Genomic DNA, 26,433 nt, shown 5'->3' on the forward strand with positions numbered 1-26,433 from the left:
TTATTATAGGGGTATTAACCATGAACCTAGCAATAGGTGAGAAAAGGCACTACTTTTTTTTCCCACACTAATGACAACTTCTGCCTTATGCAAACACAACCAGAGGGTCCTACAGTCTTCACCGCCAGCCACAGTTGGAATGGTCTCATCAATGGATTGATGGCCCAGGGACGCACAAGGGCTGTGCTGAGGCTCAGGAAACAATCCCCCAAAATGACGGCCACAGAAGCAGCCTCAGAAGCAAAACTTTCTCTGACTTTCTCCTGCCCTTCTCTCTGTGGCCCCTTATTCTCTAGAATCTCTCTAGAATCCCTCTTCCCAAGGCAGGCCATAGAAACCAGAATTCCCTTCCCCAAAGCCAGCCATAAAACCTAAACATATTACTTCAACCTCCTCCTTGCCTTTCTGTGTAAAAGCTGACCATAAGGAAATTATGTGACCTGCCTTATCTGATGGTAGAATATAACTCCATTCAGAGAGGGCCCTGCCCCATTCCCAGAGTAAGGAATGTTGCACAAACAAACCCAGAAGAATCTAGACAGACAGGCCTTGCTAGGCTTCCTCACTCAGTCTATTAGCATTAGATCATGCCCTTTTTGTCCAGTCATTTTTCTACATAGCTGTCCAATTCTTCATTAACCTAAGCATAAAAATGGTATCTTTGGGCTTTCATTCTGAAGGCTCCCATGTCACATGAAACTACTATACAATTAATTTGTATGGCTTTTTGCCTATTAATCTGCCTTTTGTCAGATGATTTTTCAGTGAAGCTTCAGAGGTCAAAGGGCTAATTTTCCCCTGGCCCCTACAGCTGCCCACCCAACATTTCTTACCAGGTGCTACCTGGACTCCCTCTGCTAGAAGCTCCACATTGGCCCTATCCAATACAGTCTTCAGTCACCCTCCAGCCTGGGTTTACTTTTCCCTTTGGATACCAGGCATTTCTCTGAGCTGTATGTTATTTAATCCTCACAACCATACTCAGGGGTAAATGCAGCCAGGCCTAGGGTTAAGAAGAGAATACACAGACAACACACTTACAGCAGCTGCTGAATAAGCACCAGCTCCATTCCCTTCACAAACACGTGGACATGTCTATTTTTGGTTTTTCTGTGGGTGCTTCCTATCTTGGAAGCAGTTTCTGGTGCTTCTACAAAGTGAAACCAAAACCCTGTACATCATTAAAACTTACAACCAATTACATTTTTATTTCATCATCAGGGGCTGTACGATGAACCAGGTGGTGCAAAAATAACAATGAGGGTGATGCAACAAGTGAAAAGGAAACTAAATGTGAATTGTCGAATTGGAATTGAAGAATGGAGCGGGTATTCCCCTTTGCCCTGGTGCTTGCCTGAGGCAAGTGCTGCTTATCTTCACAAAGCAGAAGATTCTTCTGGCTGCCTGGAAGATGCCTCTGTTATTTTAGTGAAAACATTTAGCTCCTCGAAAGGTAGAGAGAACCAAGAGGTAAAGTGTGCCATTGTAGACAGCTGGTGTGTGTGCCAGGTAGCAGTGCTTCTGTCTACATCCTGGGATATTTGCTGCGAAATGATTGGCTCAGTCACCAAGTGAATGGCTCTTTCTGCCTCTCCCTTGTGAGTAGTTGAGCTGGCATTAAAAAGTTCCTGGCTAGTTCTTTTGAAATTACCTCACCTTCCTGCAGACCTAGAACATTAGGGAATAATCCTCTAATCAGTTTCAAATAGGAGAGCTCACATGTAAGCAGCCTTATTTAAGTGCCAGGCATCATTCTGAGCATGTTATATAAATTAAACAATTAATCCTCACCACAGTTTTATGAGGTAGGACTGTGGTTATCTTAATTTTACAGATAAGGGAACTGGGCAACGAGAGGTCTGTTTCCTTTCCCCGTTATGACATCCCAAAATAGCATTTTGCTCCTTGAGTTCTAGTAGGAACATTCAAGGCCTGGTTGGCCTTTCCCATCTCTCACTCTGGACCCCTGGAGGGAAGAAAACTTGGTCTTATTCCTAGCTCTCATTTTTCACTTATTTCTTATTTTTAGAAAATGTGCAATTCTGCCAACTCTTTGCTTTAGCTCTTGCTTTCAAATGACTTGCACATCTCTGTCCTTTCTCCCCTTTTCCAAAATTTTCAATGTCATTTGCATCCTTCCATCAGTTCTAAAATGCTAGTTACTTGTGGATGTCTCTCCATTTTACGCCCTGTTCTGAGCCTATGGCTCTTTGCAAATTCAGCACTTGCGGAACACTCATCATTCTGTTCGGTAATCGATGTTTTGTTTTATCCTCTCTTTTCCAGAAGATTCGTGTTTTAAATCTGAACTTTGTCTCCCCAGTCATTAGCACAGTAGCCAATGGTAAAAAGTTAAGTATTGTTTATTGAATAAATATAATGCTGCAATATATGCTTCAATGAGTTTGTGACTGTCAGATATCAAGGAGTTGTCTTGGCAATGTTTGCTGAGGGTTCATTTAATGAATTCTCTTGACAAGAATTTGAGCTCCACCTATCTCATGAGCACATTGATGGGCAATGTGAACAAAGGGAAAATAAAATTCAAAAGAGAATACAATTTATGTTGAAAAGAACATTAAATATTATTTTAGATAAATGTAGCCCCAACACATGTGAGTCTTCTTGCCCCTTCTCTGACTCTCTTGGCATCCAAAAGAAATGCAAATCCATAATCAAAAGTCTTTAAATTTTAATATAGTTCCTCATTAAGGCCCTTGAAGAGACAGCAAAGTGGCAAATTATGTCATAAGTCTATTCAGTAAAACATACTTAGTTCCCGTTTTAACAGGAAATAGAAGCAAATGGAAAACTAACCAATTCATTTTATGAGAATAAAATCATACAACGCAGATAATAAGATCAGCCAACAAATTATAGGACACTTTTATAAACATGAAGATAAAAGTACCATGTTAAATATTAGGAAGTGAAACCCAAAGATGTGCTGTAAATAAAAAACTAGAATGTAACCAAGAATACAATGGTAGCATACGATAATCTGTTCATGTAATTATTAGTATGTGACAAAGGGAAAAAATATACTGATCTCACAAGGTACCAATAAACTCCCACATTAATTAAAAAGCAATACCTTAGCCTACCAAGGCTAGAACCAGTTTAACTCTGATAAATGTTATTGCATCTATTAAGAGTGCCTTCTACTATAAGTAACAGACAACTTAGCTAATTGAGTCTAAAATAATGAAGACATTTGCTCAGTCCACATAATTGGAAATCTGTAGGGCAGTATTCCTACAAGGATGATAGAGAGTTCCCATTGCTGCACATGTCGCCAGCATTTGGTACCATTAGCGTTCTGAACTTTGATCATTCGAGCAGGTGTGTAGTGCCTCCACATTCGTTATTGTAGAACTAGGCCTATAGCAGCAAGGAGAATCTGTGAGAATGTAACACAAGGATTAGGCTTTTTTTCCCCCAAATGACTAGTTGACTGTCCCAACATGGGCTTTTCCCATTGGTTTGAAAAGCCACTTTTACTGTATGCAAAGAAACAATAAATTCAATTTTCTTCTTCTTAACTTTGATTCTGTTTTCTTGACCGATTTCTCTATTCTTGCAATAATCCCGCTTTCTGCAGTCTTACAAGATCATTTTATATTTTACAAGGCAAGTCCCTCTGTAAATTTATTCCTTTCTCAGATTTTCTGATGTATTATTTTTTGATACATTTTGTAGTCAGCTTGTCAAATTCCAATTAAAAATCTTGTTGACGTGTTGTTTGGGAATGCATTGAATTTATGTATAAATGTATAATAAAGCAATTAAAAACAATTCAGTAGATTTTTATTTACTAATAGAAAAAATCTCTAAGATCTATTATTAAGTAAAAAAAGAAACATGATATTTATGAAATACAAACACACTTAATATCCACTGAATATTTCTATATGTATAAATTTATTAAATAAATGAGGAAATGACTAAAAGGATACTCATTAAAGTATTAACTATGTGAAATTGGGATGGTAACAGGTCAATATGACTTTTCACTTGTATGAATTATTCTAATTTTTAATCATGACAATACATTCATGTATTTTTTATAAATATAAATAAACTCAAGAAATCTTTTTTAGTTCTCTAAAGTAACACTCCTTAGGGCAGTTACTTAACTTTGCATCTGCTTATCCATCTTTTTGTGAGCTTCATCCTGCTTTGCTCTTTTTACTCCACTTTGAACAGTCAAGTAGACTTTTTGCTCCTGAATAAGAAGCTTCATTGTGATTCGCCAACCTTTACCTCAATGGACTAAGCAGAGATAGGACTCAGTCTATGATCAACTCATTACTGATTAACTCATGATCACCAAGGTATTGATTGACAAATTCATTAGACTTTTCTCAGTTTTAATAGCAACATTAATGATAATCCAGTTTAAGGGCCAAGTATTGTTCTGTACTGCATACATTATCTCATGTAATCAATTCAACAATCCTACAGAAAAGATGTTATTATTCTCATTCTATAGAGAAGGAAACTGAGGCTGCTCAAAAATGTTAAGCATATTTTCCAAGGTCAAACAATTAATCAGTGGGAAGCCAGAATTTAAATACTGTTTCAGAATCTGAACAGATCTCATGATCTTAGCCTCATTAATATAATGATAATCAGATGTTTGTGCAGCGCTTTAAAAAAACTTACTTTACTTATTTATCTGTCTTTTCAGAGACAATGTCTTGCTCTGTTGCCCAGGCCGAAGTGTAGTGGCACAATCGTAGCTCACTGAAGCCTCCAAATGCTGGGCTCCAGCAATCCTCCCATTTCAGCCGCCTGAGTAGCTGGGACTATGGGTGCATGCCACCACACGTGGCTACTTTTTAAATTTTTAAATAGAGACAGGGTCTCACTATATTGCCCAGGTTCACCTCGGACTCCTGGCGTCCAGCTATCCTCCCACCTTGGCCTCCTAAGGCATTGGAATTATAGGCATGAGCCACCATGCTTTAAAATTTTAATTAAAGTAAAATGCTCATAACATAAAATGTATCACCTTAGATACTTTTAAAGGGTGCAGTTCAGTAGTGCTATATTCACATTGTAGTGAAAATAGTCTCCAGAACTCTTTTCGTCTTGCAAAATTTAAACCCTATACTTATTAACAACTCACTGTTTCTCCCTTTCCCAAAATCCTACACTTTCTGTATCTATAAATGTGACTATTCTAGATACCTGATAATAAGTGGTCATATACTATTTGTTTATATGTGTGATGGGCTTATTTCAGTTAGTGTACGGTGCTCCAGAATCCTCTTGCAGCATGTGTCACAATTTCCTTCTTTTTTTTAGACTGAATAATATTCCATGATATGTATTGACCACATTTTTTAAAAATCCATTCATCCGTCCATAGGCATTTGGGTTACTTCTATCTTTTGACTACTGTGAGTACTTTTGCTTTGGATATATACTTAGTAGTGGAATTGCTGGATATATAATAATTCAATTTTTAATTTTTGAGGAACCACCGTACTGTTTTTCATAACTCCTGCATCATTTTACATTCCCAAAAGCAGCCCACAAGAGATCCTATTTCTCCACATCAAAACGTTATTTTTTTCTTTCTTCTTTTTCTTTTTTTATCATTGCCATCTTAATGGGTGAGAGGTGATATGTTTTTGTGGTTTTGATTTGCATTTCCTCAGTGACTAATGATGTTGAACAACTTTTCATGTTCTTGTTGTCCATTGTGTATCTTATTTGGAGAAATGGCTATTCAAGTTATTTGCAGATTTTATAATTGGATGTCTGTTTTGGTTGAGTTGTAAAAGTTATTTATATATTCTGAATACTAGTCCTTTCTAAGATATAAGATTTGCAAATAGTTTCTTCCATTCTATAGGTTGCCTTTTCACTTTCTTGATAGTGTCTTTTGAGCACAATAGTTTTAAATGTTGATGAAGTCCAATTTATCTGTTTTCTTTTGTTGCTTATGCCTTTCCTATCTTATCTAAGGATTCATTGGCAAATCCAAATCATAAAGATTAATCTCTACATTTTCTTCTAAGGCTTTGCTCTTACATTTAGGTATTTGATATATTTGAAATATTTTTTATATGATGTGAAGTTGGGGTACAATTTCATTATTTTGCATGTGAATATCCAGTTGCTAGGGCAACTGGGTATTGTTCTTTCCACATTGAGTGGTCCTCGTACCCTGGTTGAAAATCAATTGACTATAAACATATGGGTTTATTTCTGGACACTCAGTTCTATTGCATTGGTCTATATGTCTACCTTTATGCAAGTACCACACTGTTTTGATTACACTAGTTTGTAATATATTTTCAAATCAAGGAAGGGTGAGCCCCCCCAAATTTGCCCTTATATTTTCAAGATTCCTTGAGCCCAGGAGGTGGAGGTTGCAGTGAGCTGAGATTGTGCCATTGCACTTCAGCCTGGGTGACAGAGCAAGACTCTGTTTTGAAAAAGGAAAAAAAAAAAAGATTTATTTTGGGTATCCAGAGTCTCTTGCAATTTCATATAAATTTTAGTATTGGATTTTTAATTTCTGCAAAACCAGCCATTGGTATTTGAATCAAAATTGCATGAAATCTATAGATTACTCTGGGGGAATATTGGCATCTAAACAATATTAAGTCTTCCACTTCATGAACATGGAAGGCCTTTCCATTTATATAGGTCTTCTTTAATTTAGTTCGGCAATATTTGCAGTTTTCAGTGGACAACTCTTACATATCCTTTGTTAAATTTATTGCCAAGTATTATATTCTTTTTGATGTTATTATAAATGGAATATTTATTTTAATTTTTTTGAATTGTTCATGGCTAGTGGTCTTTGTTTTCTGTTCCTATAACAGACCACCACAGAGTGGGTAATGTATAAAGAAAAGAAGTTTATTTAGCTCACAGTTCTGGAGTCTGGGAGCTCCAACAATACACAACCAGCATCTGGTGAGAGTGTTCTTGCTGCACCATAGCATGATTGAAATCTGCACACTGTGTATAGGGCAAGTACAAAAGAGCCAGAAAGAGCTGGATAATGCCTAAAAATATGTGAGATGAGAATAGAAAGTTTGAAAGATCCAGCTGAACTCAACAAAACCTATCATTTGAAAGGCAGGGCTAGAACTAGAAACTGGAAAGTTATCTGCATCCTATTCAAGTGTATTATAGTGCCTCTGGAATAAGAGAATGGTGCCTTTTGGTAACTAAGGAAAATGAGAACAGGAATGTAATGTATTAGTCAGAAGGGCAGTCTAATGGTTACCATGGAGACTCTGTGGCTGGACTGCTGGGGTTCTTGTCATAGCCTCAGCCTGCTCCATGTTGTAACCTTGGGCACCTTATTATCCTCCGCTACATGTAAATGATAACCACACATATTTTGATAGGTTGTCATGAAGATGAAGGACAAAAACCTTATGATCATTTCAATTGATGCTCAAAAAGCATCTGATGAAATTCAACATTCATTCATAATAAAAGCTCTAAAAAACCTAGGTATAGAAGGAACATACCTAAACACCATAAACGCCATATAAGACAAACCTACAGCTAGTATCATTCTGAATGGGAAAATTCAAAGCCTTTCTCTAAGGTCTAGAACAAGTCAAGGATGCACACTTTCACCACTTTTTTTCTTTGGGACAGAGTCCCAATCTCTTGCCTAGGCTGGAGTGCAATGGCACAATCTCAGCTCACTGCAACCTCCGCCTCCCGGGTTCGAGCAATTCTCCTGCCTCAGCCTCCCAAGTAGCTGGAGTTACACGTGCCCACCACCATGCCTGGCTAAATTTTTGTACTTTTAGTAGAGACAGGGTTTTGCCATGTTGGCCAGGCTGGTCTCTAACTCCTGACTTCAGGTGATCCACCCCTCTTGGCTCCCCAGAGTGCCAGGATTACAGGCATGAGCCATAGAGCCCAACCACTTTCATCGCTTTTATTCAACATTGTACTAGAAGTCCCAGCCAGAGAAATTAGACAAGACAAAGAAACAAAAGGCATCCAGATTGGCAGGGAAGAAGACAAATTATCCTTTTCCAGAAAAAGCTAAATATTTCACCAAAAATACTATTAGGACTGATAAACAAATTTGGTAAAGTTGCAGGATACAAAATGAACTTACAAAAATCAGCATTTCTTGAAAATGGCTTTTATCCAAAAGACAGGCAATAACAAATGTTGGTAAGACATGTAGAAAAGGAAACTCTTGTACACTGTTGGTGCAAATGTAAACTAGTACAACCACTATGGAAAACAGTTTGGAGGTTCCGCAAAAAACTAAAAATAGAGTGGGATAACCCAGTAATCCCGCTGCTGGGTAGGCACCCAAAAGAAAGGGAATCAGTATATCAAAGGGATAGCTGCACTCCCATGTTTGTTGCAGCACTATTTGCAATAGCCAAGATTTGAATGCAACCTGACTGCCCATCAACAGATGAATGCATGAGGCAAATATGGTATATATACACAATGGAGTGCTATTCAGCCATAAAGAATAATGAGATTCTGTCATTTGTCACTACATGGATGTAACTGGAGGTATTATGTAAAGTGAAAGACAACCTTCACATGTTCTCACTTATTTTGTGGGAGCTTAAAATTAAAACAATTGAACTCATGGATATAGAAATAGAAGGATGGTTACCAGAGGCTAGGAAGGGTAATGGGGGACTGGGGGACAAGTAGGAATGGTTAATGGGTACAAAAAGTAGTTAGAAAGAATGAAGAAGTCCTAGTATTTGATAGCACAAAGGGGTGAATATAGTCAATAATAATTTAATTGTACATTTTAGAATAACTAAAATAGTATAATTGGATTCTTTGTAACACAAAGGATACATGCTTGAGGGGATGGATATCTCATTTACCAGGATGTGATTATTATGCATTGCATACCTGTATTAAAGTAGCTCATGTACTCTATAAATAGATACACCTACTATGTACCCCCCAAAATTTAAAAAATTTTAAAAATCAGTAGCATTTCCATATGCCAACAGCAAACAATCTGAAGAAGAAACCAAGAAAGTAATACCATTAACAAGAGACACAAATAAGATAAAATAAAATACCTAAAAATAAATTTAACCATAAGTGAATGATATCTACAATAAAACTATGAAACATTGATGAAAGAAATTGAATTGGATGATATTATGTATTTAGTACAATGCCTGAATAAAATAAGCACTTGGCACGTGTTAGCCATTCCCACAATGGAGAAAATGAATGCAACCCCAACTATGGAAATTGAGTGGAAATTTCCTGGGAAAGATCTGCTTTTCTTCCTTTAATTCTCAGGTCATTGATAAACGTTGTTATTGTAATTTCACCTCTTACTGTGAACATGAGCATGTAAATGGAGAGAGTGCCCCTTCCAAATGACTAACACCTATTAGCTCATGGGAAAGTTGACCTCTCAAACATGAATTAAATGGCCACGCAGTGTATGACCCAGTCTCTTTGGAGTGTGGTTGGTGTGGCTAACTGTTTGCAGTCTGATAATCACTGTGTATAGTGAAAAAAAGTAAATACACAGCTAACTAAATAAATAAATTCCCTGATTTTGCAAAGCTGAAAACTAGCCCTATAGGTAACAACCTGCTTTAAACAGCCAGTTTCCCCCACTGCTGGACCTGTCTGCAGCTGACATTTTCATTTAGATCGAGAATTTCTCAATCACTTTCTGTCATTTCCTATTTACTTTTGGTGGCTTTGTGTGTGAATTACTTTTTCTTCCCCCTTTTGAAGAGAAGGGGTTAGCAGACTTATTGTACACAAGGAAAAAAAGGAAGTCACTACTGACCATAGTGGGATATTCATATACATATTCTGCTTAGGTATGTTTGAGTTCAAAGGAGGAAACCTGAGAGATAAAACAGTTTAGGCTTGTATGTACAGCAAGCTTGCCCCCAATTCTCAAATTGTGCCCCTAACACAATATTGTCCGAAGCGTCCTGGTGAAGCTTGCTCATATGTATTTTACTTTCAGGAAGTGATTGAGAAAAGTTTACAATTGTGGAAATGTGGATGTCTGAAATATTAAGCTAGATGCTCATAGTCTAGTCTTGAGTGCAAAGTCCACTATATATGTGGAAAACCAGTGAGGTGAGAGGATACTTCAGGAAAGCTAGATAATAATGGTGAACTTTAATATAATGCTATGGGATTAGAAGCCAGAGGCCATTGTCCAACCAACTCATACAATGGTAATAAGGATGAACAACTTCTGTTCTAGCTCATTGTCCCTTGAACCAATCTTGAGCCAGGTGAAAGTTCCAACGGGTTAAAGAAATCCAAGGACCCTATTCATTAAAAACACAGAAATTAAGCAAGAAAACTTCTAAGTTCCTGGTATTTGAGGATGTAGCAAAGAATAAGATGAGATTTATGCACAAGAAGAATGTATCTTCTGGCGGGGCGCGTTGGCTCACGCCTGTAGTCCCAGCACTTTGGGAGGCCGAGGCGGGCGGATCACGAGGTCAGGAAATCGAGACTATCCTGGCTAACATGGTGAAACCCCGTCTCTACTAAAAATACAAAAAGTTAGCTGGGCGTGGCGGCGGGCGCCTGTAGTCCCAGCTACTCGGGAGACTGAGGCAGGAGAATGGCGTGAACCCGGGAGGCGAAGCTTGCCCGGGAGGCGGAGCTTGCAGTGAGCCGAGATCGCGCCACTGCACTCCAACCTGGGAGACAGCGAGACTCCATCTCAAAAAAAAAAAAAAAAAATAAAAGAATGTATCTTACATACATGATCTAATATATCAACACTTTCAGGAGGGAAATCTAGAGGGATAGAAAAGATCTTTTAAAAGGAGCCTGGTAAAGCTTTCTTAAAAGTTGTCCTGAACATCAGGAAGACCCAGACAGCTCTATCATTAGTTCAAAGTCAATTTTTGTTGAGGTGATAAGCATCCCATGGAATTAGAACTTTTAATTTTTTAGTGAGTAATTTTAACTCAATTGTAAGAAGATAGACGGAGTTGTCTCCCAGGCCCTTGAAGAGACGAAAAAGTTCAAAGTGGGGAAGTGAAAAGATCTGAGGAAAATTCAGAAAATGAAATCGTGTGCTGAATATTTAAGGGGCTCATGAGCAGAAGGTCCTCAGAGAAGCTGGGGCAAAGCTCCCAATATTCCATCTTAACCAGAAGAGCTTCTTTTGGAACTTACCAATGGTCTCCTTGCTGGTGGCATTGGTGATGATCTCCTGACACATCTATTCCCTTTTCTGCGACCTGCCTCTAAGACTTCGCTTGGGAAAGTTCTGGGCCAAGTGGGGACAATCTTCCTTCTTTCCTGTCTGGAAAGCTCAGGTGATTTCTGCCCTCCATAAGATGCACCAGCAGATCTTCAGCCTCTTTTACACAAGGGCTTGTCTGATGCTTGGAATAGGGCCTTCCTGGACAAACTCCAGACTGGATTTCATCAGCAGCTGGAAGACCTGGAGACCTGCTTGGTATAGAGGATGGGAAGCAAGAGTCTGCCCTGGAAATTGAGGGCCCTACACTGGCCATAAAGAGGTACTTCCAGGGAGTACATTTCTTCTTGAAAGAGAGGAAATTCAGGAACTGTACCTGGGAGGTTGTCTGAGTGTAAATAAAATATATTAAGAAAATTCAGGAAACCCAATTCTCAATGACTAATGTCCTAGCTCACACTCTGTTCAGTCATTTCTATAACTGTTCTTTTTGCCTTCAGTGGTAAAATAACTTGAACCATTTTTGGCATATTCTTATCAGTAATGTTAAATGTGTCTGTATATAACTAATTTTAGAATTGGAAGAAATGCCACTGGTATCTTGTGGTTGAAACTCAGGTTATAAAATATGTATTTTTATTAACTTGTCTATTTATTTTTGATGGTATTTGTATTTATATGCTGTATTGTTTATATAAGCATATATTTACATTTTCCTCGTTAATAGAAATACTACTTTAAAAAACTCATTAAGTTTATTGTAAGACTTTTCTCCTCTTTTTAAAGAGAACTTTTTCTCAAATCTGAATTCTGCACGCAAAATATAAAAATTTTTGTTACAGTCATGCTTTGGCCTTGGTGACAGATCTTGAGTATGAGATGCATAATCCTTGCCCTTATGGAATTCACATTACAGCAAAGGACACAGCCATTGAAGAAGTTATAATCTAGTATGGAATTTACATTTGGCATCTGGGCTACACAGGAGAAGTAAAAGAGGCTATGGCAGTGAATGTCACGGACAGCTCATTTAGGTTGCCTTCTACCTTCCCCAGGGAAGTAATATGAAGTCAGAGACTTGAAGGATAAGTAGGAGTTTGTTAAGTATCTTGTGGAGGGCAAAATTTCCTAGGGCAAAACAAAAACAAAAACTGCATAGAGAGTGGCCCCGTAGCTGGAAAGGGCCAGGAAAATTGAAAGAAGTGAAAAAGACTGGAGTGGGTAGACTGGACTGGTAAATGGTGAAGTGTCATGTAATGATGCTGGGGAAATGGAAAAGGGCCCAGTGACAGCTTTATGTTAAAGATGCTGGACTTGAGAGGCAAGGAAAATTACTTTGGCATGTAAAGCTGAAGAGTGCTTTACCAGAGCACTAACAAAGATATTTGTTAGACCAAAAGTTCTCAAAATGTGGTCCATATGACCATAAGGGTCCCCAAGACATTTTAAGAGGCTCCACGAGGTCAAAACTATTTTTGTAATAAATCGACATTACTTGTCTCTTTCACCATGTGAACAACTTGCAGTGATGGTGCAGAAACAATGGTGGGTAAAACTGCTGGTGCCTGAGTGTTGATCAAGGCAGTGGCATCAAAAGGCGGTAGTAATTATTACATTTTTCACTATGATGTACTTGAATTCAAACAAAATACCAGTTTCTTTTAAGAATGCCCTTCAGAACACAGTAAAAATTATTAATTTTTCAACATCTTGACTTTGAGTACAATCGTTTTAATATTCTATGTGATAGTCTTTTTAATATTCTGCATGACTGTGCTTATGGCTCATACTGATAGAAAATGATTGTGTCAAGGAAATGCACTCATGCGATTGAGTTGTGAACTGAAGTAGCCACTCTTTAGCAGAATAACATTTTTAGTGGAAAGAATGACAGACAGACAAACAGTAGTTATTGAGACTTGGGCATTTGACAGTTTTTCAAAATATTTATCAAGTGAACCTGTCACTTCAAGGGCAACAATCACCAGTATTTGTCACCAGTGATAACATTTGAGATCTTAGTAGAAAATTGGAATTTTGGAAAAATTTGTATCCGTCATTACGAGGTTGATAACTTCCTTATTCTTCAAACTTTTGTGGTGATAATAGTGGTGATATAGGCCATTGAATCGTTCGATAATATAGATTGAAATTTAAATACACATTTGTAACATCCGCAAAACTCAGTGAACCAATATTTCCTAAATAACGAATTCATATATTATAAAATTTAGCATGGGCAAAAGAGATCCATTCAGTGTATGGCTTATTCATAAACTTCTATGTAACATAATTTGAAAACTCATTTTTTTTTGGTTTAAATTCCACATTACAACTAATCCTTATGGAACTACCACTTATCCAACTCTGAAATGTTACATGATGCATTATAGCATCAAGTCTTCCTTCCATTTCTAAGATACACTTCTTAATAATGATTAATTAATTTATTAATGTGATTTTAAATGTTGTCACAGTGGAAAATATATGGAACTGGGGAAGATAAGTTAGCTTTGAATCATAGTTCTGCTATATAATAGATATTCTTGTACAGAGTAGGTGCTCAATAAATGAGAGTCATTATTACTTACTGGCAGGCTGTGGAGAATAAGACATTGTTTAAGAGCTTGATAGGATTGGTGAGGATTTAAAGTGCTTCCTGTAAAGTGCTTAGCACAGTCCTTGTTGCAGTGTGAACATTCAATAAACATTAGCTTTTATTATTTATATTAGTGGATTTTGAACATCTTTTCATTGACTTTAAGGAGTGAGGCTAACCTCTTTTTAATTCCTATGTTTGATGAATGTTTACCTCTGTATGTAGCTTTGCTTCAATATATTTTAAGAATAGTGCTTTAATTCCATTACTAACTAAACTACTTATTTTACTTTTTCTTCCTGACTTAACTGAATGTGTCAGTATGATTTTAAATATCTAAATGTTCGCTTTAAAAATCATTTTAAAAAGAATAATTCCAGGCATTGTGATCTAATTATACAACTTAGAGTGTTTTTTCTCTGGAGGAATTTGATAGTTTTCTGTAATCTAATACAGGGTAATTTTTGTGAATGATTTATAAATATATGAAAAATATATTTTTTATTCTAAGTTGTAACTTAGTGCCCCAGAATCTTAGCCAATAATGTATCTTTTTCAATTATATTTGAAATTATTCTTGTTATTTTTCTATGCTATATTTTAAATCACAATGCTAAAAATGTCAATATTAAAATGACATTTTTGTTTGTTTCTCTATATTTGCTAACTTTTTTCTGTATATTGTATATTAAATTTCAGTTCTATGTCTTTTATAATTTGGTTATAAATCCTATTTGTTTCCTATGTATATTGATACTCTTTCTCAAATGTTCATTGAATTCCCACAAGTATCAATATTTATATTAATCAATATCTCATTGATATTAATATTGCCACCTCTATTTTTCCTTTGTTGTATTGCTTTTCTCTTTCTTGCCCATCTTCTTCTTTTACTGTTTTAGTATTTTTAATTTTAGGCTTTTCTCATATGTAGAGTAATAACGGGGTTTGGTTTTAAGCCAATCAAGACTTTTTTCTTTTAATAGGGAACTCTAAGCAGCTTATATTTATTATCTTAACTATTATGTGTTTGGTTCTTCACTTTATTGCTTTATGCTTTACTTCTTGCATTACTTTTATATGTTTTTAACATTTATACTTCCTTCAATTATTTAATTATTATTAATTTCAGACAATATATTTTTAAAAGAAATTTAAATTTTCTCTTATTTTTGAACTAAAAATTGCATAGTACTTTAAAATAACATTTTAAAAGTATTTCAGAACTTTTAACTGATTTTATTATTTACTGCCAGCTCTTACTGATACTGTTGCTTTTGGTCAACATAGTATGTATAAGAGATAGGAGATAAGTAGATCCGTATGCATGTGAATTTATGTTCATAAATAAATATATGGGAAGTTCCACGAAGTTGATGAAGAGAAATTCATTCCTGATTTTAGGAAATAAAAGCATATTAATTTAAATGCTCTTAGAAGGAATGCATTTGGATGCAATAAGCTAGATTAGCGTCACATATTCCAAATATATTCCTGCATGTTTCAGGAGTCATGTAATCAATAGAACAGTGATCAACTTAAACAATTTTCATTTTAAGAAGAAACATGCTATCAATATAAAGTGATGAGTTTGATATTCTTGTCTAGCCTGCAAACTGGCTCTGAAGACAGTTCTCATCCTGGAATTGAAAACTTTTTAAAATAGTGGTAATACTGTTGCCATCATTGATTGTTATAGCTTCTGAAGTGTTTTTCAAGACATATTTGAAACTGTAGCAAGGTACATTTATAATGAAATAAACAACTGAAACTTTTACCTGAGCACCATGTAGACTCTTCCTTTACTATGTCTCTACCCCAACCTTTTACCAAGAAGGCAGATGAATTCTCTTGGGTCTGAGTGTAGCACATAAGCACCAGGGGTTCCCTCATTACACCATGCTTTCCATCTATTTCTGTAGGTTTTTAATGGCCTTTCTTTGGTGATCCTGATCCAATGTTGGACAGGATCAAACTAAAACAATGGAAGAATAAAGATTTTAGGGAACTCTTTTTCTGTGCTCTAGACCCTCAGCTTTGGAGTGTTGCTTTGACTAGTGCTGTCACTCTTAACCAGGTATGTACGCTTGATGTTATACTGCCATCTACTGGCTATACGTCAAATACTGGCTTAGAGACGACATACTGATAACTTTACCATGGTCATTAGCTGGGAATAATTCAGGAAATTAGAATGTAAAGAAAGGACAGTTTGATGTGCTGCCTAAGTAAAAACAAAGAAACAAATGCATAAATGAAGCCCACACAAAACCTCTAATTCATAATAGTGATCCCAGAAATGTGAAATTTGTTTTTCGATCACTGTATTCTTTTTTACTCCCAAGATAATCTTGTTATTTCCCATTTTTGTTAAGTAATTTAAAAAAGAAAAGGGAACATACATTCACACAGGACACTAATCAGAACAACAAGGCTATATTTTTGTTTGTGTTGTGTTTTCAATGAAACAAAAAATTGAACCTCAGGGTTGTTAAACCCTGACATTATGTTCAAATTAATGTTCCAGGAGGGCCCAATTTTGTTTCTAGGGGTTCGTTTTCTCAGATGCTTTTAAAAATGGGTAGAAAGTGGTGCCATGAGAAACAATGGCAGAGTAAAAATCTCTAAAAAATTTGCCCCTTCATAAAAGTAAAGAAAAAATGAGCAAAATTTGTCAGAATAAATCTTTTTACAATATTATGAGTTATCCCAAGGCATGCAACAACCCAGGAGCATTTATTTGAGGAAAACAGCTGTAAGTGTAAGTATAGCCAGATTTGTGGCATATTAACTTGAATTAATCCCATCACCCATTATCAAGTTCAGTGGTAGCCTTAAAAAGCAATGGGCTTCCTTCCTGGTACCACTGGGAATAGAAAAAATCTGGAGTGCCTTCATAGCTTCATTCCTAAAGATTGTCATTATTTGACTTCGAAATACCCTAGTAGAAAGACTTATCTTTATTTAAGCTGTCTGGGAGCTCACTCAAAGCTAAAAGACTCTCCCTGAGGAGTGTTGACTAAAGACATTTACAGGCCAGTGTTTTGATATAGTTGCTACCTGAGGTGATTAATTACGGTTGTAGTAAATAATGACCAACTGAAAATCTTAAAAGGAAAAACAGAGATGAGATGTCTATAAGGGCTTTGACAAATTCTAGCATACTTTTGGGAATCTAGAAGGGCATTGTACATGTGTAAGTTTGTGCACATGTTCAGGAAAGACCCAGTCTTTCACTTCTGGCTGACTTTTATCATAAGCAGAAACTGAAGGCCAAGGCAGGGTTGAAAACTGCCTGGCTAAGTATTAAACATGCACTTCAACATGCACACAGAGCTTCTTGGCTAAAACTGAGAGATTTATTTGTTCCAGATACTTAAGGAAATCTCTGTTCAGTCATTAGCTGGCCACTAAGCTAACTGATTAGAGACTTCAGTGGGCACATGTGCTAACGAATACAGACTTTACAGAATTAGTGCAGAAAAGACAGCAAGTAAACAAATAACAACCCACAACAAGCAGCAACAACAACCTCTTGGGGGATGGGGAACTAATTTATACAGTTGCTGCAGTTTATTATTAAAATGTCCACTTTTCAACAAAAAAATATAAGAATGCAAAGAAACTATGTCTTATACACAGGTGGAAAAGTCATGAATAGAAACTTCCCCCAAAAGCCCAGATATTAAATTTATTAGACAAAAACTTAAACCAGCTGTATTAAATAAGTTCAAACACCTAAAGGAAGCCATTTCTAATTAATTAGAGGAATACAGGAGAACAACATCAGATCAAAGAATACCAATAAAGAGAAAGAAATTATACAGAGGAACTGAATAGAAATTTGCTAGCTAAAACGTACAAAAATTGAAAAAGAAAACTTCACTTGAAGGGTCTAACAGAAGATTTGAGTAGACAGAAGACTCAATGAGCTTGAAGACAGATCAATTGAAATTATGCAGCTGAGGACCACAGAGCAAAAAAATGAATGAAGGAAAATATATAGAGTTTAGAGGACTTGTGGAACACCATCAAGCATACTAACATATATATATAATGAGAACTACAGGAGGAAAAGAGAGAGAAAAGGGGCAGCAAAAATATTTGAAGAAGTGTGGCCCCAAATTTAGCAAGTTTGGTGAAAGATATGAGTCTACACATCAAAAAACCTCAACACACTTCAAGTAGAATAAAGACAAATAGATCACACACAGGATAATCAAATGATTGAAAGCCAAAAACATAGAGAAAATCTTGAAAGCCGGAGGAGAGAAGTGACTCTCACATACAAAGGATCCTCAATAACATTAACAGCAGGTTTCCTATTAGAAAACACAGAGGCCAGAGGGTAGTGGGATGGCATATATAAAATTCTGAAAGGAAAAATAACCGAAGAATTCTATGTCTAGCAAAACTATTCTTCAAAAATATAAGAGAGATAAAAACATTTCCAGATAAACAAAAGCTGACTGAGTCCATCATTAGTAGATCTGTCCTACAAGAAATGCTAACGAGCCTTCTAGGCTAAAATAAAAGGACACTAGACAGTAACTTGAAGGCATATAAAGAACTTTGGTAAAGGTAGGTAAATATAAATAATATTATTGTACTCCCCTTTTTATTTCCTATATGATTTAAAAGTCAAATGCATAAAACAATAATTACTAATCTATGTGAATGGGCAAACAATGTTTAAAGACAAGAGGTCGGAGGGGAGACAGAGCAGCATAGGAGTCAAGATTTTGTACGCTGTTAAATCTAAGCTGGTATCAATTCAAACTAGATTGTTGTAAATATAGAATGTTAATTGTAACTTCCATGGTAACCACTAAGAAAATATTTAAAAAATATAAACGAATCAGAGTGTGAGGGAAACTGGGCAGTATGCTAAAAAAATTAAACACACAAGAAGGCAAAAACATATAAGCTGACTCCCCATTGTGAATCTATTGTGGGAAACACATTATATTCTTAAACTTTAGGAAGCATACTTTTCACCTTGATCCACGCCGTGTTGAAAAACAGAGGGGTGATTGTGGGAGACTGGAATTCAGACAATCACAATGATGACTGTGATGATGGGGGATGAGAAGTCTTCTATATAGCACTTATTAGACTTAATTCTCTCTGTCCTAACACACACGTGAGCACGCATGCACACATGCACACACACACACACACACACACACATGCTTTTTACAAAATATGACAACCTGTATCAATACAGGCTGCAAGGTAATTATTGCGTCAATACTATTATATCTCACAAAGTACAAGTAAAGATTAAACAATCAGGCCTCAGAAAAGGTGAGAACTAGGTAAATCTCATCGTTCTCAGAATATTCTCATTAGCATTATTTAGTTTCTAACTCTAAGGCTTTAGGTTTTTTGAGTCAAATTCTTAGAATAATTTTCTGATTTACTTGTACTGGTTTTGTTAGCCATAGGCAGTAACAACATAGCTGGCAGGCCCCATTGCCATGGCTGGAGAGCTGTTCTTACAGAAGTGAAAACAAAAGATATGGTCTACTACATTCCAAACCTTTCCTTGTTGGTACCTACACTCCTCTTTCTATTGATACTATTTCAAAGATGCTCAATTGTTCAACAATATGCTGCCTTCAAACGACTCAGTTTAGCTTTAGAACATAACTAGGCTGAAAGTGCAAGGATGGAGAAAATTATTTCACACAATTGATAGCCAAAAGAGAGCTGGGGTAAATATACTAGACAAAATAGACTTTAGGTAAAAAAAAAACTATAACAAGAAGGTCATTATATAATGTTAAAGGGATAATTTCATCAAGAGAATACAACAATTATAAATATATATGTACTCAACATCAGAACACCAAAATATACAAAGCAAATATTAACAGATCTGAATGGAGAAATAGGCAGCAATATGATCATAATAGGAGACTTCAATACCCCATTTTCAACAAAGGATGGATCATTTTGAATGGTTTACAGTAAACCAATGAAGAAGCAAATTTAAAAGATTGAAATCATATCAAGTATCTTTTCTGACTATAATAAAAAATAAAAATAAATTAACAGGAGGAAAATTGGAAAATTTACAAATTGTATATATTATATATATTAAATTATATATATTATCATATATAATATAATGTATTATATATGATAATATATATACACAACATACTCCTGAATAACCAAGAGGTTAAAAAAGAAGTCAAGAAGTATTTTGAAGCAAAAACAGAAACACGACATTGCAAAATTTAAGGAATGCAGCAAAAGCAGTTCTAAGAGGGAGGTTTCTAGTGATACATGTGTACATAAGAAGGAAAGAAAGATTTCAGATAAACCACTTTTCACCTCAAGTAACTAGAAAAAGAAAACAAAGCCCAATGTTAGCAGAAGAAAGGAAATATTAAACAGAGCAGAATCAAATGAGAGAATAAAAAGAAAAATTTTAAAAAATCAACAAAACTAAGAGTGGTTTTTGAAAAGATAAACAAAATTGACAAATGTGTAGCTAGACTAACTGAAAAAAAGGTGGGGGGTGGGGGAGAGAGAGAAGATTCAACTAAAATTATAAATAAAAAAGAGACATAACAACTGATATTTTAGAAATATGAAGGATCATAAGAGGCTACTATGAACAATTATATACCAACAAGTTGAATAACATAGAAGAAATACAGAAATTCTTAGAAGCATACTGTCTACCAAGACTGAATCATGAGAAATAGAAAATATGAACATGGCAATAATGAGTATGGTGTCATAAGCTTTACCTTAAAAAAATTTCTCTTGAATATATTTGGATAAGTGGCACTAATCTATTGTATTGCTTCCAAATAACATTCAGATTAATGCATTTTTATTTCATAAATTCAGGAATAATTTTTTATTCACTAACTTCTTGGTCATTCTTATCAATTTATATATGAACATAAATTAACACGCACGTCTACCAATATCATATCTGTTACACAAACTATGCTGACTAAAAATGTGACAGTCCTAGTTAGAACTGGCAGTGAAGAGTAAAATCAGTTAAAAGTATTATGAAAAATTTTAAATAAAAAATTAAGAGAAAATTTAAATTTCTTTTAAAAAAGGAATTGTTTTAAAATTAATAATAATTGGAGAATTGAATGCAGTTAAAACATCAAAAACATATATAAGTAACATAAAAAGTAAAGCAGAAACCAAAGTTGAGAACTGAGCACATAATGGTGAAAATAATAAATATAAATTGCTTAAGCTTCTGTATTAAAACAAAAAGTATTGATTGGAATAGTGTCAATAGGATTGGTATAAATTCTTTTTTGAATGTCTGATAGAATTCAGCTGTTAATGTGTGCGGTCCTGGACTTTTTTTGTTGGCAATTTTTAGATTACCACTTCAATCTTACTGCTTGTTATTGGTCTGTTCAGGGTTGCTATATCTTCCTCGTTTAATCTAGGAGGGTTGTGTATTTCCAGGAATTTATCGATTTCCTATGTTTTCTAGTTTATGCACATAAAGGTGTTCATAGTAGCCTTGAATAATCTTTTGTATTTCTGTGGAATCAGTAGCCATATCTCACATTTCATTTCTAATTGAGCTTATTTGGGTGTTCTCTCTTCTTTTCTTGGTTAATCTAACTAATGGTCCATAAATTTTATTTATCTTTTCGAAGAACTAGCCTTTTGTTTCATTTATCTATTGTATTTTTTTGTTTCAATTTCATTTAGTTCTCCTCTGGTCTTTGTTATTTCTTTTCTTCTGCTGGGTTTGGGTTTGGATTGTTCTTGTTTCTCCAGTTCCATGAGGTGTGACCTTAGATTGTCTATTTGTGCTCTTTCAGACATTTTGATGTAGGCATTTAATGCTACGAACTTTCCTCTTAGCACCACTTTTGCTGTATCCCGGAAGTTTTGATAGGTTGTGTCACTATTATCATTCAGTTCAAAAAATTTTTAAATTTCCATCTTGATTTCATGGTTGTCCCAATGATAATACAGGAGCAGGTTATTTAATTTGCATGTATTTGCATGGTTTTGAGGGTACCTTTTGCTGTTGATTTCTAATTTTATTCCACTATGGTCCGATAGAGTACTTGATGTAATCTCAATTTTCTTAAATTTACTGAGACTTGTTTTATGACTTATCATATGGTCTATCTTGGAGAATGTTCCATGTGCTGATGAAAAGAATGTATATTCTGCAGTTGTTGGATAGCATTCTATCCTGTATTCTATAAATATCTGTTAAGTCCATTTATTCTAGGCTATAGTTTAAGTCCATTTTTTCTTTGTTGACTTTCTGTCTTGGTGACCTGTCTTGTGCTGTCAGTGGAGTATTAAAGTCCCCCACTATTATTGTGTTGTCATTTATCTCATTTCTTAGGTCTAGTAGTAATTGTTTTATAAATTTGGGAACTCTAGTTTTAGGTGCATATATATTTAGGATTCTGATATTTTCCTGTTGGACTAGTCTTTTTACCATTATATAATTTCCCTTTTTGTCTTTTTTATCTGCTGTTGCTTTAAAGCTTGTTTTGTGTGATGTAAGAATAGCTACTTCTGCTCACTTTTGGTGTCTATTTGCACGGAATATCTTTTTCCACCCCTTTACCTGAAGTTTATGTGAGTCCTTATGTGTTAGGTGAATCTCCTGAAGACAGCAGAAACTTGATTGGTGAATTCCTATCCATTTTGCCATTCTAATATTAGTACTGAGGTGTAAGGGACTATTCTATTCATCAGCCTGTTTGTCGCTTAAATACCTTTTTTTTTCATTGTGTTACTGTTATATAGTTCCTGTGAGATTTATGCTTTAAGGAGGTTTTAGCTTGGTGTTTCAAGGATTTGTTTCAAGATTTAGAGCTCTTTTTAGCAGATCTTGTAGTGCTGGCTTAGTAGTGGTGAATTCTCTCAGCATTTGTTTATGTGGAAAAGACTATCTTTCCTTCATTGATGAAGTTTAGTTTTGGTGGATACAAAATTCTTGGCTGATAGTTGTTTTTTTTTTAAGGAGGCTTAAAATATGACCCCAATCCCTTCTAGCTTGTAGAGTTTCTGCTGGGAAATCTGTCGTTACTCTCATAGGTTTCTTCTTTACAGGTTACTTGATGCTTTTGCCTCACAGCTCTTAAGCTTCTTTCTTCATCTTGACTTTAGATAACCTGGTGACTATGAGCCTAGATGATGATCTTTTTGAGATGAATTTGTCAGGTGTTCTTTGAGCTTCTTGTATTTGGATGTCTAGGTTTCTACCAAGGTCAGGGAAGTTTTCCTCAACTGTATTTTCAAATATGTTTTCCAAACTTTTAGATTTCTCTTCTTCCTCAAGAACACCAATTATTCTAAGGTTTGGTCATTTAACATAATACCAAACTTCTTGGAAACTTTGTTCTTTTTTAAAATTCTTATTTATTTGCCTTAGTTGGATTGGGTTACTTCAAAAACCTTGTCTTAGAGCTCTGAAGTTCTTTCTGTTGCTTGTTCAATTCTATTGCTAAAACTGCATTTCTCTAAGTGTGTCCTTGATTTCCAGAAGTTGTGATTGTTTTTTATTTATGCTATTTCCCTGAAGATTTTCCTTTCATATTCCATATCATATTTTTTATTTCAAGGAGCAGAATACTATTTTTGGATGTCTTAACACAGGAAAAGGAAATAGAACTCTGTGTGCCCAGTTCCTTTACCTGTAAAATTAAGATAACCATAGTCCTACCTCGTAAAATTGTGGCAAGGATTAATTGTTTAATTTATATAACACACTCAGAATGATTCCTGGCACTTAACTAAGGGTACTTAAACGTTAGCTCTCCTATTTGAAACTGATTGGAGGATTATTCCCTAATGTGCTAGTTCTGCAGGAAAGTGAGTTAATTTCAAGAAAACTGGCCAGGGAACATTTTAATGCCAGCTCAACTACTCACAATGGAGAGGCAGAAATAGCCATTCACTTGGTGACTGAAGCAAGCATGTTGCAGCAAAGATCCCAGGGTATAGACAGAAGCACTGCTACCTGGCACACACACACCAGCTGTCTACAATGGCACACTTTACTTTCCTGGTTTCTTGGTTCTGTCTACCATTTGAGGAGCTAAAAGCTTTCACCAGAATAACACAGGCATCTTTCAGGAAGCCAGAAAAAGGATCCTGTGCTCTGTGAAGATAAGCTGCACTCTCCTCAGGCACGTGCCAGGCAAGAGAGGAATCCCCGCTCCATTCTTCAAATCCAATTTGTCAACTCACATTTAGTTCCCTTTTCACTTGTTGCATCATTCTTATTGTTATTTTTGCACCATCCGGTTCACTGTACAGTCCCTGTGCAGTCATTGTACAGTCCCTGTTTATCTATGATGAAATAAAACTGCATTTAGTTGTAAGTTTTAATGGTATGAAGGGTTTTTGGTTTAACTTTAAAGAAGTGCCAGAAACTGCTTCAGAGACAGGAAGCTCCTGCAGAAAACCGATAATAGACATGTTCACCTGTTTGTGGAGGGAATGGAGCTGGTGCTTATTCAGCAGCTGCTGTGTGTTGTCTGTGTATTCTCTTCTTAACTCTAGGCCTGGCTGCATTTATGCCTGAGAGTGGTTGTGAGGATTAAATACGTCCAGCTCAGACAAGTGCTTGATACCGAAAGAGAAAAGTAAACCCAGGCTGGAGGCTCACTGAAGTCTGTATTGGATAGAGCCAATGTGGAGTTTCTCGCAGAGGGAGTCCAGGTAGCACCTGGTAGAAGATGTTGGGTGGGCAGCTGTAGGGGCCAGGGGAAATCTTGCCCTTTGACCTCTGAAGGTTCCGTGAAAATCAATTGACAAAAGGCAGATAGATTAATAGGTGAAAAGGCATACAAATTAATTTTATCATAGTTTTATGTGTCATGGGAGCCTTCAGATTGAAGGGCCAAAGACACCATTTCTATGCTTAGGTTAATGAAGAATTGGACAGCTATGTAGAAAAATGACTGGATAAAAAGGGCATGATCTAATGCTAATAGACTGAGTGAGGAAGCCTAGCAAGGCCTGTCTGTCTAGATTCTTCTGGGCTTTTTTGTGCAACATTCCTTACTCTGGGAATGGGGCAGGGCCCTCTCTGAATGGAGTTATAATCTACTTTTAGATAAAACAGGTAAAATAATTTCTTTATGGCCAGTTTTTATGCAGAAAGACAAGGAGAAGGTTGAATTAATATGATTAGGTTTTATGGTTGTCATTGGGGAAAGGATTTCTGGTTTCTATGGCCTGCCTTGGGAAGAGAGATTCTAGAGAATAAGGGTCAAAGAGAGAGGGGCAGGAGGAAGTCAGAGAAAGTTTTGCTTCTGAGGCTGCTTCTGTGGCCGTCATTTTGGGGTATTGTTTTCTGAGCCTCAGCACAGCCCTTGTGTATCCCTGGGCCATCAATCCATTGATGAGAGCATTCTAACTGTGGCTGGCGGTGAAGAGTGTAGGACCCTCTGGTTGTGTTTGCATAAAGGAGAAGGGTCATTATTGTGAGAAAGAAAAAGTAGTGTCTTTTTCTCACCCATTACAAGGTTCATGGCTAATACCCCTATAATAAAAGAAGATTAACAAGAGAAAACCATAACTAATTTTAGAAACAATTTTTTTTATGAGAGACAAGACGATTTAGAAATGAAGATCCAAAGACCCAGGGAAACTGTCTATTTTTACGCTTAGGTTTATTGAAAAATGGACAGTCATGTAAAAGCATATTGGACAAAAAGGGGATATGAAGTATTGTTAATAAACTGAGGGGGGACTTAGCAAGGCCTACTTGTTCAGATTATTCTTGGTGTCTCTGTGTCTTTATTCCTTTCCTCCAGAAGCAGGGAAGGACACCTGTCACATGGGGGTCTTGCGACCTACTTTCAGGGGAGATAGGACAAAGCATTATTTTATGGCCAACTTTCACACAGAAAGGTTAGACAAGGTCAGAGAATGACCTTGAGTCTGCAGTTTTCTGAATTTTCAAGGTGCCATTATTTTGGGGTAGCATGTCGGGAACCCTGATATTAACATGAGTTAGGCAGAGCTCCCCCGCATCCCCCCTGCCCAGTGAAGTGGCCTAGTTCCTCCTGGGTTCCAAGGTGACAGAAGAGAAACTGAGGAATGGATCTAGTCAAAGACTTTTGACTATGACAAGATATCCAGGATGTGGGAAAAGGAAAAGGAACAGAGAAATGTCTGACAGCAGTGGCACATAGATGGCATGCTCTGCCTCTTCACACCAGGTTTGAGGTCTGAAGGTGGATTCCCTACCCAACAAGCTGTTGGCTTGTGGTTATAGAGAGAGCCCACAGTGGGAAGAAGCAGCTTCAGGGACTGAATGAGGGTGAGCAGGAGACAGCATGCGGAAGACAGAGAAACAGATTTTTTTTTCCTTTCCCTGAACTTAGGCTTTTTCTTTGTGGTTCCCAAGTTTCACAGAAACTTTTTAGGTTGCTGAGCAAAATTTTCCAACGTAATTAGGACTTGGTGAGATTACCCCTCATTTTATTATTGTAGTGGGTATTGTTTTTAAACTAAGCTGCTGTAAATATGTTGGGTGTATTTTCTTCTTAACCCTGGGCCTGGCTTAATTCACCCCAAAGAACAGTTGTGACGATTAGATACATCCAGCTCAGAAAAGTACCTGGTATCCAAAGGGAAAAGTAAATCCAGGCTGGAGGCTGACTGG

General features: G+C 36.2%; 1 pseudogene, besides 4 other annotated features; it reads left to right on the plus strand.

Annotated features, from left to right (window-relative positions):
* Window positions 1,070-1,339: an enhancer, noted in NCBI's record as "active region_28231". NCBI's record gives its function as "activates an Ori minimal core promoter by ATAC-STARR-seq in GM12878 lymphoblastoid cells {active_cell/tissue: GM12878}" and the evidence as "EXISTENCE:reporter gene assay evidence [ECO:0000049][PMID:35858748]".
* Window positions 1,070-1,531: a biological region, named in NCBI's record as "Sharpr-MPRA regulatory region 8746".
* Window positions 1,237-1,531: an enhancer, noted in NCBI's record as "tiled region #8746; HepG2 Activating non-DNase unmatched - State 24:Quies, and K562 Activating non-DNase unmatched - State 24:Quies". NCBI's record gives its function as "activates a minimal TATA promoter and a strong SV40 promoter by Sharpr-MPRA in HepG2 and K562 cells {active_cell/tissue: HepG2 | K562}" and the evidence as "EXISTENCE:reporter gene assay evidence [ECO:0000049][PMID:27701403]".
* IFNWP4 (interferon omega 1 pseudogene 4) lies at window positions 11,152-11,656 on the plus strand (annotated as a pseudogene).
* Window positions 23,738-23,997: an enhancer, noted in NCBI's record as "active region_28232". NCBI's record gives its function as "activates an Ori minimal core promoter by ATAC-STARR-seq in GM12878 lymphoblastoid cells {active_cell/tissue: GM12878}" and the evidence as "EXISTENCE:reporter gene assay evidence [ECO:0000049][PMID:35858748]".

The sequence above is a fragment of the Homo sapiens genome, chromosome 9, assembly GCF_000001405.40.
Source record: "Homo sapiens chromosome 9, GRCh38.p14 Primary Assembly".
Taxonomy (NCBI): Eukaryota; Metazoa; Chordata; class Mammalia; order Primates; family Hominidae; genus Homo; species Homo sapiens.